We start from the raw sequence: 15263 nt of genomic DNA, 5'->3' as shown, positions 1-15263 counted from the left end.
TATATATACACATGTATGTATATATGTATATATTTATATTTATAACTAAGTAAAATAAATAAAAGTTATCAGTTTCTTTTTTCCTTTGTTTTGTTTTGTTTTATTTGAGATGGAGTCTCGCTCTGTTGCTGGACAGGCTGGAGTGCAATGGCGTGATCTCGGCCCACCGCAACCTCCCCCTCCCAGGTTCAAGTGATTCTCCTGTCTCAGCCTCCCAAGTAGCTGGGATTACAGCCACATGCCACCAAGCTTGGCTAATTTTTTTGTATTTTAGTAGAGATAGGGTTTCACCGTGTTGCCCAGGCTGGCCTTGAACTCCTTGGCTCAGGTGATCCACCCACCTTGGCCTCCCCAAGTGCTGGGATTACAGGCGTGAACCACCGCACCTGGCCCTCAGTTTCTTAAAAATGTATATTCAATTGCAATAGCATTAGATTTGTGCATACATTTAAAGACTGACAAAAGCACATGAAAATTATGTTCTCTGCATTAAAGTTTACAACTTTAAATAATTTAATATTACTTAAATAATATTTAATTTAATAATTTAAATACTCCAAATTATTATAACCCAATAGGGGAATGGTTAAATAAGTTATGGTATATCCACACATGGTAACTAGTCTCCAACACTGGCCCCCTACTGAACCACACCTCCAAAGATGAAGGTATGGCTCTTGTCTATTTCCCTCCCACATTAAACCAAGGCTGGCATGTGTGCCTAATAGAATATAGAAAAAGTATATACAACATCCAAGATTGGTCTTAAGCATTTCAGATTTCACCCTGGTCACTGGGAACACATGCTCTGGGGGAAGCCAGCTGCCATGTGAGAAGTCCAGATAAACTGAGACCTTCCTGTTATGAGAAAGCCCAAGCTAGTCCTGTGAGAAGTCACATGGAGAGGGAGAAACTACCTGCTATTCTCAGACTGTTGCAGCCATTCTAGCTGAGCCACCAACAATATGTAAATGAAGAAGTCACCTTGGATATCCAACTCAGTCAAACCTTGAACTCCAGTCCTGCAGTCCTGCCACCATTTGACAGCAACCTCATTAGTAACTTAAAATGAAAAGTACACAACTGAGCTTAGTCAACCCACAGAACAGTGAGAGACAAAATAGCTGTTTTCAGTCACTAACTTTTGGAGTGAGGGGTTATCTGGCCATTGATAGCCATGACAGAAATTGATACCTGGAAGTGAAGTGCTACCTTAACAAAATCTAAATCTAAAACATGTGACATTGGCTTTGGATGAGGCAGTGGGCAAAGGCCGGAAGGCCTTGAAACGACGATGAGGATAATATTATTGGAGGCTAAAAGAAGTAGAACTAGTGTTATGTAATGGTGAAAAGTTTGGTAATATCTTACCCATGACAATGTGGAAAATACAAAATATTTCTAATGAATTGGTGAATTTGACTGGAGAGTTCCAGACAGAACATTCAAAGTTCTGCCAAAAAGTTTCTTTTAGCTACATATAAGGTAGATAAAAAGAGATGAGCAGGAGACAGAACTGTTCCCTTTTAAAATATAGTTTGGAGAAAATATAGAGGTCCTAGAATCCTCTGTGTAGCCAACAGAAGGGTCTCAAAGTAAGAAAGAGCCTTAGGGTTATGATAAAGTAAAAGATGTGGCTGTAAGACATTTTATGAAACCTTAGAAAGATTTAAGGTTACCTATAAGAGATTTATAAATATTGCTTTTGTCCAATTGAATGAGCCCCAATAAGATTCATAGGCGATGCACAAAATTGTTAACAGACTAGTACTTAGAAAAACACCATCAGCTTAGACTGAGACAGAAACAGTTCAAAATAAAAAGAGCCACAACATTCTACAGTCAGCAAGCCAACTGAGATAACCACTCAGTAACAATTACAACCCATTTCTTATGGATAAGAAGAAATGACTCAGAAAGCAGAGATAAGAGCTATGAAGAACCATTTCTAGGTAACAGGACTGGGCCCTAATTTGGCACCTGGCACTATTGTGCCAATCTGAGATTCAGAATTGCTGTGAAATAGTAACTGCTGCATGCTGCAGCTCTCCCCTTTTTTGTATTATCCTATGTCAGTTTTACCATTGTTTTTTGGGTCTGGGGGCCATATAACTTGTCTCTTTAGTTAATGGACCTTCAGATGGTAAGGAACCACACTCAACAAGTTGCACCTGAGAAACAGTACATGCAGCGTACTGAACCTGGTCCTGATTTCAATAGTGAGATTCTGGATCTTGAGACTGAGCCTACTTCTATGATGGGATGAGAACTTCAGGGCAGTTTTAGGAGGAAATTAGTGTACTTTTCACATGAGAGATAAACTGTGGTGGCCAGAAGGTAGAGTAGGGTACTTGTCACCAAGTGGCTACGATCAATTCCTTTTCTCCTGTATGCATATGGCACTCCCCTGTCAAAAAGTGGAGTCAGGGAGATCTGTTGTGCAGTGATAACCAGTACACCACACAAGGAACACTATGGGACATTCAAAGAATGTGATAGACTTACATGCACCTGGAAGTAAGCCTGTAATATAGCATTAAGAAAAATAAGTATTTAATATATGTAGCATGATTCTATCATTAAAAGAAATACATATATATATATACACATACACATATACATATTTTCTATGTTTATCAGCAGGGACCTAGACACATAGATACATACATTGAAATGTAGACAGATATAGACTTGGTATATGTATAAATATATCTGTATAAGCATAGAAAAAAAAGTCAAACTATACCTCAAACTGCTATAGAAGTTATCGGAAGATTAAATTAGATGGACAGAGGGAAGTAAAACTTTGGTTTACTTAAATACATTTTTAAATGTGCTGGAATTGTAAGTAATTTATATGCTTTGGGGGATTTTCAGGATATTTTTAAATAAAATTTTAGTTTATTATGCTTAAATGAGTGCTAGTATGTAGAAGGCAGTGTGTTCCTTGTCATTTAAGTTACAGTAACAATATCAACCATCCTTTAAAATTAAAAAAAAATTTTAGAAAAACTGATGTATTTTTATGATCAAAGAAAAACTATGTACTTAATGCAAAAGATGGAAAGAAATACAGCAGATTCTCCCATAAAGCTACGTTGTTTTCAAAAACCTAGAACTCTGCAAAGTCAGGCATTGTCAATAATAGGACTTATCAGTAAAAACAGAGTCTATACAGCCCAGAAAACTTATAAAACTGTGTAATGAAAACAATCAAGACAATAGCAGAGTTAAATCTTCTGTGGCATTTGCCCAGCATCACAGTCGGATGATCTTTTTCAGCTTTAAATACTGGAACTTAGAATTCCTTCTTCAAGAGGAAAGTCTTTGAGGGCATTTGCTTCTAATAGAGACCAGTTTCATCTCAACTTTAAAATCTATTTAAAGTCTATAGGAATTCAAAAACATGTGCTGGGATAATAATTTTTATTATACATCAGCTTTGTTTCTTGAGGCATATTGATTGGGCTTTTTCATGAATTGTAAGAAAGCTTGCTTCTTGCTTTTATCTCTTCAAAACATTAAGGTGCTTGGAAGAAAGATCTCATATGAACCTACATGACTTCTACCACGATACAGCAGAACAGATGGTGCAAAAAAATACAAATATTAGTTCTTTCTAGCAAAGCTGCATCACAGGAGAGGATCCCCGAAATGATGAGACTTAGAGCTTACATAGGGCAGCTAGTGCATTTGCCCCTCATTTCTTCTGGAAAGAAAGAGAGAGAGACTTTCACTCTGGAATGTAAGAAACCCTCTCTGAGGATGTGAGGGAAAGGTCCCTAGGTTTTTGCTACCCAGAAATGTAATGCAAATGACTCTATGGCAGCGAATTCTCTAAATCTGTCTGGAACAATACACTATTTCTAGCTTCTCAGGCATATTTGCTATTCAATTATTGTTTAACCATTTTTGCCAATTTTCTTTGCTCAGAAAGCCAAGACTGTGCAGAAACGTAAAAATATTCATGGAAAATTGTCTCCCAACACTACCCTGGAACTTGTCATCACCCCAAACCTCTCTACCACCCAAGTCACTAAATCAGTTTCCTACTAACTCCTTTCTATCCAGCTAGCTAGTTCGACTCCTCAGATTACAAGTGTTCTTCAACTTCTTCAGGGCCCCTTCCATTGACTCTTCTACTCTCTTCCAATCTATCAGCCTTCTTTTTCAAATTCCCCCTTTCTAAGCTTGAATTTCATTATATGTCATTTCAATAACATATTTGCCAGGGCCCCAAACTCCATTCCTTTCTGTCTTTATATTAGCAGCTGCTAACAAGATCCCAGTGTTGCCTGAACCCAACTGTCTTTTTTTCCTTTTTTCCCTTAATCTTTCTAAACCCAAATACGGAAGTATTGCTGATGAAAGCCACACACAGAGTGGATCTGCACTGTTGTGAAGTCATGAACATCAAAACCAGCACGTCCTCAACACATATCAGCAAGATTTCCACAAGCACCTGTCAGTTCTCTCTCCCACCTCTCTAGTGAATTTCTCAAACTTTCTCCAGTCTCCTCAGATCTCTGACTTGCTTTTTTATCTTGCACCTTTCCTTCCACTCTTAACAAATGACCTCACTTCCTACTTTACACAGAAAACAAAAGCCACAAGACAGGAACTCCCACAAAAATGGGCCCTTATATCTGCACCCATCCCATTTTTTCTCCTTTCTGTAGAATAAAATTAGCCCTTCTCCTTTCTAAGGCCAATTGCTCCAATCATTACACTGGCTTTCAGGAAGCTTTCACTAGCTCTTTTTTCTTTTTTTCATTCAGCATTTCTCTCTTGCTTGGATCTTTCCCACTGACATTTACTTACTCAAGTTTCTCCCATCTACAAAGGAAAAAAACAAAATAAAACCTCCTTATACCTTCTAACCAGTCTTCCTACATTGATACTTGCTGCCTTCCCAATCTGTTCTCCACCCTGCAATCTTTGTGTTCTTTACAAATTACACAGTCACCACCCCCCTCCACAACCGTGCCCCACTTAAATCTCTTCAGTGGTTTCCCTAACCCTTCAACTGACAACCCAAACCCTTCACACGCCTTACAAAGTCCTGAATGACCTGACATATGCCCATATTTTCAGCTTTATTTTGCACCACTCTCTTCCCTCACTCTCTATACTACAGCCTGACTGTTCTGTTCACAGTCCATCAAACGTACCACAGCCCTCTGTCCCCAAGGCCCTTGCACATGCTGCCCAAGAAGTTACCTGTGGCCTCATTCTGTTAACCTCTCCCAAGCCCTAAGTGGCCAGCTCACCCACTTCAAAAATTATCTCATTTAGGCAAGACTTCCCAGAAAAACCAAGTCAGATAACTTTCCTTTAGAATAATTACCTCTGAAATACATATTTGTGATTATTTGATTAGTTATCATGTCCTTCCACCAGATCATAAGTTCTATTAAGGAAAAAAAAATACAAAATTATTTAACTGAAGCCCAGCTAATAGTAGGTAAAGTACTAAAAATACTTTTGATGAATGGATGAACAAGTAAAAAAATGAATGAAAGAATGAATGAATAAATAAACCAATGAATTAATTAAGACTGACACATTACTGGTCCTGTAATCTAGTTAGGATTTATAAGGGGTCATCCACCCAATTCTAACTAGATTACAGGACCAGTAGAAGTTGTCACAAACACATCACTGGTGTTCTATTTCTAAAATAACCTGGATTATATACTGAAGGAAGGAAGGGTTAAGAGACCCATTGCAGTCTTCTGCACATCCCCTACCATCTTGCTAATCCCCAAAGGAGGGCACTCACCACAAGGCATGGTAGTCGTTTCAGTGTCCATTATTCCTGGCATGACTGTTGAGTGATATTTCAGTTACAGCCCTCTTACCTTTGATTGTGGGGGTCATCTGAGCCTAAGAGAGCTCACTCTTAATCCTGCCCAGGAAATGCAATATCGTATTCCAGTTTGGTGGTTGAATGTACCACATGGGTACACATGGCCAAGACATTGCAAGCTTATGGACTCTATGGGGCCTATATGCTTGCTGGAGAAAATTCTGAGGTTTAAATACTTGAAAGAGATGACCACAGGAGTTGAGTTTTTAGATATATTTTTAGGGGGTCTGATCTGGAAGCTACTTTCTCACCATTAGCATAGAGTCGGCATTCTGAGAAGAACTACTATAGGAAGGACAGATGGTTCTCATTTCCAGGTAGACTCCTCAGAAAACACTGGGGTGAACTTGTCATTAGGGTACCTAAAGAATTAAAAACAATTCAATTTAGTGGCTGCAAATAACAACAACAATAATAGTAACTACTTATTATGGATCTTCTAGAAGCTGATGTTTCACATAATGTTTACAGCAATCCAATGGGACAGAAAACATCTTTGTCATTTTATATATGAGAAAAGTGAACGTTGGGAAAGTAATTTTCCTAAGATTCCTCAACTTGTAGGTGAGAAATCCAGATTTCAAATTTCAGATTTCAGATTTGTCTGAAACAAAAAAAAACCCTTGATTTTTCTAGAGATAGCACTATGAAGATACCTGAAGTAATGTTGAGAGTATGACCTTCAGAGGGCACTGTATTTCTCCATAGTTTCCTCACCTCCTGTATCCTTACTTCAAATACTTAGGTCTTTCTCTCTCTCATCTCAAACCATTGCCTTTTGTCTGATGGAGCACAAAATCAGATGTCCTAGAGAGATGGTGGTCTGGATGGAGTCCATCTAGGAAAGATTCCCTGACCATCACCCTCATCTGCACTGAGCAAAAAAGCCCTCTGTTGGGTTTCAAAGTACCTTGAGTCTACACCTATTTACCAGTTTATGGTTCTCTGATACAGAGCTTCTGAATTGGAAGAACCACGTCATTGTCCATTTGCATTTAGAGCATCTGGCCCAGGATCTGGCACATAGAACATGCTAAAATATGGTTTTTGGATTAAAGTACATCCAGATATCTCCTTACTGCCCCCGCCAGCATCCTTATGAATGGACTCCATACTTTTTAAAGTAAAAAATACAGAAAAAGGTCTCCAGAGACACACAGTGCCTGCCTAAAAACAAGCTTCATGAAAAGAATGAAGAATGGACTCCTGACCCCACGCCACCACTCTAACAAGCATTAAGTAACAAGTAACAGTTAGTAATGGTGGAAGAATTAAATGAGTATGGAAAGAGACCATCTCTAAGGCATAGTGTAAAATAAAGACCTAAAGCTGAGAATGGATATTAAGAAAAAGCCTTCTGGCGAACCAGCCTCCACCCAACACACAAAGTGTCACTACAGGAATTTGAAGTCTGTAGTACACTGTAGTTAACCAGAGCAACAGCAATCTCTATTCCAATTAAATCCCTAAGTAGATTGGTTCAATAATCCACATTAGAGTCCTAGCAGAAGGAAATGTGCTCATTTCCAGGAATAAAAATCATTTACCTGGCCATCACGGTGGCTCACACCTGTAATCCCGGCATTTTGGGAGGCCGAGGCGGGCGGATCACCTGAGGTCAGGAGTTTGAGACTAGCCTAGCCAACATGGCAAAACCTTGCCTCTACTAGAAATAATAATTTTAAAAAATTAGCCGGGTGTGGCAGCGCACACCTGTAATCCCAGCTACTTGGAAGGGTGAAGCAGGAGAATCACTTGAACCTGGGAGGTGGAGGTTGCAGTGAGCCTGGATTGTGCCACTGCACTCCAGCCTGGGTGACAAAGTAAGACTCTGTCTCAAAAAAAAAAAAAAATCACTTACTTTAGTATATATTGTCCTACAGAAAGTATACAGCTTTCAACCAAAAAAGTACAAAGCATACAAAAATAAAGCAAGAAAAACAACACAGTGGCATGAGTAAATCGACAGAAGCAGACTCAGATATAATACAAATATCAAAACCATAAATAGGAAATTCAAAATAACTATAATTAATATGTTGAAAGTTCTAATGGGAAAAGGAGACAACACACAGGATCAGATAAGTAATTTCAGCAGAGAGAGAGAGTACTAAGGAAGATTTAAGTAGGAATGCTACAAATAATAATAATAAAAAAGTAACAGATATGAAGAATGCCTTTGAGTGTATCATCAATACATTTGACTAGTCAAAGAAAGAATCAGTAAGCCTCATATAGGTCAATATAAGTTATTTGAATTAAAAGAAAAACAAGAATGAAAAAAGTAGAATAGAATATCAAAGGAATGTAGAACAATGACATATACCTAAGATGTGTTTAATTGAAATTCTACAAGAAGAGAGAGGGAATAGGGCAGAATAAACATTTGAACATATAATAACCAAGATTTTTCCAAAATTAACATTAGACACCAAACCACAGATCCAAGAAACACAAAGAACACCAGTGAGGATACACACAATACAAACAAACAAATTAAAAAACAAACCTGAGATATGTCTTATCCAAATGATAAAAAACAAAGAGAGGAGAAAGAGAAAATTTCTGAAGGCAGCCAAAAATAAAAGACATTAATATTGATATAAATAAATAACGGGGAAGAAGAGACAAGTCTCACTTGTAGAAGATCCTAAATGATTTATGTAGTTACTCTACCCTTAAGGAGAATAAACCTAACTCCCCATTGTTTAATCATGGGCTGTTTATATGGACTTCCTTCCAAAGATTTCAAAAGTAAAAGAGAGAGGAGTAATTTTACAGTGGAGAAATCTGACAAATACTATCTTAGCCACGTGATCAAGGTCAACATCAAGAGTGAAAAGTTATGTTAACAGTAAGTCTCCTTAATATGATTATTACAAAAATGGCACTTTACCTCTGTGGTCTTCCTCCCCAAAAACCCATAACCCCAGTCGAATCTTGAGAAAATCATCAGACAAATCCAAATTGAGGGACATTCTACAAAACACATGACCAGTACTCCTCAATCTATCATAGTCATCAAAAATAAAGAAATCCTGAAAAACTGTCGCAGCCTAGAGGAGTTAAGGAGACATGATCACAACATAATGTGGTAGATGGGATCCTAGAGCACAAAAATGCCATTAGGTAAAAACTAAGGAAATCTGAATAAAGTACAGACTTTAGTTAATAATAATTTTTCAATATTGGGTCAGATGTACCATACTAACATAAGATATTAATAATGGGTAAACCGGATATGAGATATACTGGAACTCTCTGTACTACTGTTGCAGTTTCTCTGTAAACCTAAAACTCTTCTAAAAATAAAATTTATTAAAACAAAACTAAACTAAAGATACATTCTATACAGAGGAACAAAAATAAGAACAAACTTCTCGTGGGAAATCATGTAAGCCAGGAGAAAATGGAGTGACATCATTAAGATTTTTTAAAAACTGTCAGCCAGAGTTCTGTACCCAGGAAAACATCTTTTAAAACTAAAGGTGAAATAAAATCTTTCTCGAAAAGAAAAATGGAGAATTAATTGGTAATAGGCCTGCATTATAAGAAATGTTTGAGAAGGCTATCCAGGTAGAAGTAATATAGCACCAGAGAGAAAGTTGGATCTGCACAAACAAATAAAGAGTTGTGGGAAAGGAAATAAATAAAGATTTAAAAATGCATTTTCTTACTCCTAAGTGCCTAAATGATAATTGATTATGCAAAGAAAAAAAATAGTAGCAATATACTATGTGCTTGCAGCATATGTAAAATTAAATGTATAGCATAAAGTAAAAGATGAAGGAATTTGAATATACTGTTGCAAGGTCCATACACTACATGTGAAGTGATTTAATATTATTTGAAGGTAAACTCAGATTAATTAAAGATAAATATTGTAACTCTAGGGCAACCACTAAAAGTAAAAATATAAAAGAGGTATAAATAATAAGCCAATAGTATTTTCAAGAGCTATCTGCATTTCCATATTCACTGCAGCATTATTCACAATCACCGAGGCATCAAAGCAACAACCTAAATGTCCACTGACTCCTAAATGGATAAAGAAAATGTAATATATACATACAAGGGAATATTATTCATCCTTAAAAAAGAAGAAAATCCTGCCTCTTACAGCAACATGGATGAACCTGGGATACATTATGCTAAGTAAAATAAGCCAGACACAGAAGGACAAATACTACATGATATTACTTATGTAATGAATCTAAAGTAGTCAAACTCATAGAAGCAGAGAATAGAAGGATAGTGGTCAGAGATTGTGGGGAGGGAGAAATGGAAGGTATGAGTCAAAGTGTACAAAGTTTTGATTATATAAAATGGATAATCTTAGAGATCTACTGTAAAGCACAGGGACTGTAATTACCAATAATATATTGTATCCTTAAAATTTTGCTTTAAAAGCAGATCTAATGTTGAGTGCTTTTATCACAAATAATAATAATAATTATTATTATAATAAAGAAAGAAAGCAGGAGGAAATTTTTGGAAGTGAAGTATAGGTTTATGGCATGATTTATGGTGAAGTATAGGTTTATGGTGATGATTTGATGAGTGCATACTTATCTCCTAACTCATCAAGTTGTATAAATTAAATAAGGACAGATTTTGTATGTCAATTATACTTCAATAAGATGGTTTAAAAATATAATAATTAAAGCCAAAAATTGGAAATAGTACAAATTTCCTTCCATGGGTGAATGGATAAACAAACTGATACATCCATACAATGGAATACTCTTTTACAATAAAAAGAAGTAAATTACTCATGCATGAAACAATACGAATGAATCTCAAATGCATTTTGCTAATGAAATAGGTCAGACTCAAGAGACTACATGCTATAGTTTCCCTTTATATGTTATTCAAAACAAGACAAAACTATGGGGATGGAGAACAGATCAGCAGTTAGCAGAGGCTGGAGGTAGAAAAAAGACTGATGACAACCAGGCAGCATGAGAAATTTTTTGGAAGTGATGGAACTCTTGGCATGTTGATTGTGGTAGTAGATACCTTAGTCCAAACTATACACTACATACTTATACATAATGGAGTACTATTCAGTTATAAAAAAGGATGAGATCCTGTCATTTGCAATAACATGGATGGAACTGGAGGTCACTATGTTAAATGAAATAAGCCAAGCACAGAAAGACAAACATCACACGTACTCACTTATTTCTAGGGGGTAAAAATCAAAATAATTGAACTTATGTAGAAGGATGGTTACCAGAGGCTGGGAAGGGTACTGGGATGCTGGGAGGAGGTGGGAATGGTTAATGGGTACAAAAAACAGAAAGAATGAATAATATCTTGTGTTTGATAGCACAACAGGGTGACTATAGTCAAAATAATTTAATTGTACATTTTTAAATAACTAACAGAGTATAACTGGATGGTCTGTAACACAAAGGATAAATGCTTGTGGGGATGAACACCCCACTTTCCACAATGTGATTATTATGCATTATATGCCTGTATCAAACTATCTAATGCACCCCATCAATATATACACTTACTATGTACCCACAAAAATTAAACATTAAAAAAAACTACATACCACAATGAATCAATTTTATAAAATGCAGATTTAAAAAAATGAAGCTTCTCTTATACAAAGAGAAGATAGAAATGAAGAAAAACAGTCTACCCTCTACACCTGGTCACTCTACAGAGGAGGTCTTGACACCAAGAAAAATCACTGCCCTACTAAGCAACCAAGGCCTTGGGCAAACCATTTAGCTCTGTACTTCACAAAAGCTTTCAGGAAAACAAAAATGCAAGTTAAGATATAATAATCAAATCAGATATGTCCTGACACCCCCCGCCCCTCCACTAAGCCCCTGATTATAGGCCAACACTGCAGAATGTTTGAGCAAATATAACAACTTTTTTCCCCTTCAACAAATTGAGGACTGGAAAGCCTATAAATGTGCTATTTCAGCTGTTTTTCGCAGCTTATCATGATTTTGTGAAAGTCTGGCCCCAAGACTTTGGATCCCTTCTTAATAACATTTAATGCTACCATTATGTAACTGAATCCATTTTGTCAGTGTAGTGGGAATATCATTAAACTGTAACTCATTTCACTGTCTTCTAGCTTTCAGACCCTCAAGTGCCTGAGTCCAGAACACCAGGAACTTGAAGCAGGGAGTGGTCCTAAACCTTCCCCCACCCACCACCCTCCTGGGTCGGGCTGTTTTTCACACTGTGACGTTACCCATTTTGTTATCATCAAGACCTTGTGATGGATGCTTGAGGCTCACAGAGTGCATGCCTGGAATCTGCAGGGCTCCTCCTTATCTGTCAATGCCTTAAACTTCCTGATGCTGACTGACATTCCTCATTTTGCCGAGTTTCAGTCCAGGTGCAGAGTATTTTTGGAAATGCAATCATATCAGGAGATGGTACTTTTTACATCAGTTGCCCCCTCAACATTAAGTACGTACCTGGCACCTTGCCACCTAATATGCAAGTAGCCACATTATTATGGAAACCACATGTTCATTAGCAAGGTTGGCACCAACACAACCTCCACTGTCCGAAGTTAATGTTATGTTCCATTATAGTCCAGACAACAGGACAGTGTAGGATACAGTTTGGGCATGAGAACAAGCAGTCCTGTTTGATGAAATCTGAGTCTTCAACTGTTAGAAATATGATCCAGTTTCTATCTTGACATACGTCTGCACTGATGTTTCAGAAAAGGACATGTTTTGAAAGAAAATACCATTCTTTTAGTGTTATCTTTGCAAAATTGTATTTAATTCTTTCTACCACTTTCACGGACAACCAGAATCCGCTGGCTTCTTGCTGGGCTAATCACTTCATCCCTAGAGATTCATGCAAGAGTATTTCACTTAATATAAAGGAGTGACTCAGAATCATTGCTTTCAATTGAGAAAGGCTGAGAGAGTCCTGAGAACAGTATTCTCTTCTTTTAGAAGCAGGGAGGAGGGGTGCTAAGATAAGGAGGGAGAGAAGGAAAAAAGAGAGGGGGAAAGAATATAAGAAGAAAAAGACTTGTGTATTCAAAATGAAAGCATCAATTCCATGCATTTTGTTTCATAAAATTTAATTCAGATTGCACAAGTTCTCAGGCTTTCAGACATTATGATGTACAATGTGTAATTAATCTCTTGCTCCATCCTGATAGAAAGGCATACTAGATTTTTTAAAACTTATTATTATCATTAATTATTATCCTGTGTGTGTCACATGTAGGTCAGAGAGCTTGGATTTTTCTGTATCCCTTACTGGTGAAGCAAACCCACTTTTTGCATGTATGCTTAACAAAGCTGCCAAAAGTATTTGTTTAAACCCATGAGTTGCATTGCTTTACAAAAGTTTCTTATAGCTCACATATGTTCAAGTCCTTTCTTATTTATATGTGGCAATCATAAGCAGAATTTCATGAATTAAGAAACCTAAGCGTGGGACATGGATTAAAGGATTTTTATGTTTGCTGCTGGAAATAGTGGCCTTGAAGGCCAGGTATTTTCCCCAGATGATCCATGAGGTATTATAATCTTCCCATGAATAGCTAGGTCTATTATAATAAAATATTTTGCAGAAATCTGAGGATGACCTAACCTCACCAGTTTCTCCCAAAATAAGCCATATTCCAACCAAAAATAAAGAGTATTTTTAGATCAGTGTAAAAGCAGCAGTCAATAAACTACGTTGGTGAGCAGACCATCCTACCAAGTTTCCTGACAAGTAATTTCTTGGACTTCTGAGGAGATGGATCTGAGCCAGTACTAGATTACCCAAAAGCAACACAAGTGTTTAGGCCCCCAACAAGGTGAGAACACTAAATGATGAGAAAATAACCTTTGTGAGAATTTGATACTTAATTTTTTATAAAAACTATTAAAATAATAACACGGAAAAAGAATAAAAGTTAAAGTATTTTTTACTATCTTGTACTTATCTGTACTTTCTATGCTTATTTCTAGTTTGTTATTATTTTTCTTTTAACTGGTGTTGGAGGGGAATATTCCTTATGGTGCTAGAGGCATTGCATAGTCATCTGGCAGCTCTGATCTGCTTACAGTCGTGAGACCTGAGAGGAAAATCCCTGACCTCTTGTTTCATAAACGTCCTCTTTCTTCCTGGACTCAGACGCCACCTCCATTTTGGGTCTTCCCAAGCCCTAACAGAGCAAGCAAAAATTTCAGTGATTCACTCCTGTTTTCTACTTCACATAAATTCAGTCCAAAACCATCTGAAGATAGAAACACAGCCTCCTTTTCTTGGTATAAGCAAAGGGTTAATGCTGACAAACGACGCGGTGAATGTGTCCCGTTCTGTGTGTGCTTGCACGTCTAGTCAGAACTGCTCTGCTCATGCTTGTTTCTCATATGACCTTTACAAGCAGCGAAGAAAGGCGTCCATTGTTTCCTTGCATCTCGTGGATTTAAAAACATAGTCCCCACAACAACTAAAAAGGCAAGTCAGGGAAGGAATGCCGAAAGCAAAAACAAAGTATTTCACCCCAGGAAAAGCCATATATAGTCAGTTATGAGATAGTGTTTGACTTAGAAATTGCACCCATATCTGTGAGATAGGTGGTGGACTGGATAGTTGTAAAATAAAGTTTGTATGCTCTCTTAGTCCCCACTCAGCTCCCTACAGTCTTCCTACAGTACTATGTAATTTTTATTTTTAAGCAAAAGATGGGGCTAAAAGTCAATCATGTGAGCCCACCTGACTGAATTGGTACCAAGGCGTAATTCTTTTCTATGATAAATAGACAGACAGATAGTAGAGAGAGATAATAGGTAAATAATAGATGACAGAGAAAATTAGATTAATATATATTATCTATAGTACTTATAGAGCTATATACATATGTAATATATAATTATATATTAAATATTAAATTATACATATGCTAATATATATTAAATTAATATAGCATATATTATAATATAAATTAGTATTATACATTAAGTTATATACATATATTGGCAACCACTGATGATAATTGCCTGGATCTGTTAATCCATTAAATGTTGCAAAGTGATAATACTTTAATTCTCATCTCTTTCCCATGTATTACCTAGACTCTGTCTCTAAGAGAAATTTCCCTTCATCAATTGTTTATTCTGAAGTACTTTTAGTATAGGGAAGGCAGGATAAATGCTTACTATTTCTTTTCTATTTACTATTCTTTAAAATAATGAATTGGTTCTTCAAGTCTTTCTAAGGTGACCAATGTGATGTTTTTTAGTACCATTAAAAGTCATGCATTTAAATATATTTCATGTATCATGATTCATTGACATCTTTTGTCCTTATTGTTGCTCAAAACTTAGCCAGTGGGAGCAACTTCAAAACGTTTCCTTTTCAGCATATCCTCTTACGTAGTCTTATAACTTCCTTG

The 15263-nt window shown here is 36.7% G+C and overlaps 1 long non-coding RNA gene across 1 annotated transcript in view; it reads right to left on the bottom strand.

Moving 5' to 3' along the window:
* Nucleotides 1–15263, bottom strand: part of DLEU1 (deleted in lymphocytic leukemia 1) — a 446475-nt gene that overhangs the window by 29762 nt on the left and 401450 nt on the right. The window contains exon 5 of the long non-coding RNA NR_109974.1: nucleotides 6121–6231. This is a non-coding gene — a long non-coding RNA (deleted in lymphocytic leukemia 1). The remainder of the gene's footprint in view (nucleotides 1–6120; nucleotides 6232–15263) is intronic.

This window comes from Homo sapiens, chromosome 13, assembly GCF_000001405.40.
Source record: "Homo sapiens chromosome 13, GRCh38.p14 Primary Assembly".
Lineage (NCBI taxonomy): Eukaryota > Metazoa > Chordata > Mammalia > Primates > Hominidae > Homo > Homo sapiens.
The sequence above is the reverse complement of the archived record's forward strand: the minus strand, read 5'-3'. Positions and strand labels throughout refer to the sequence as shown.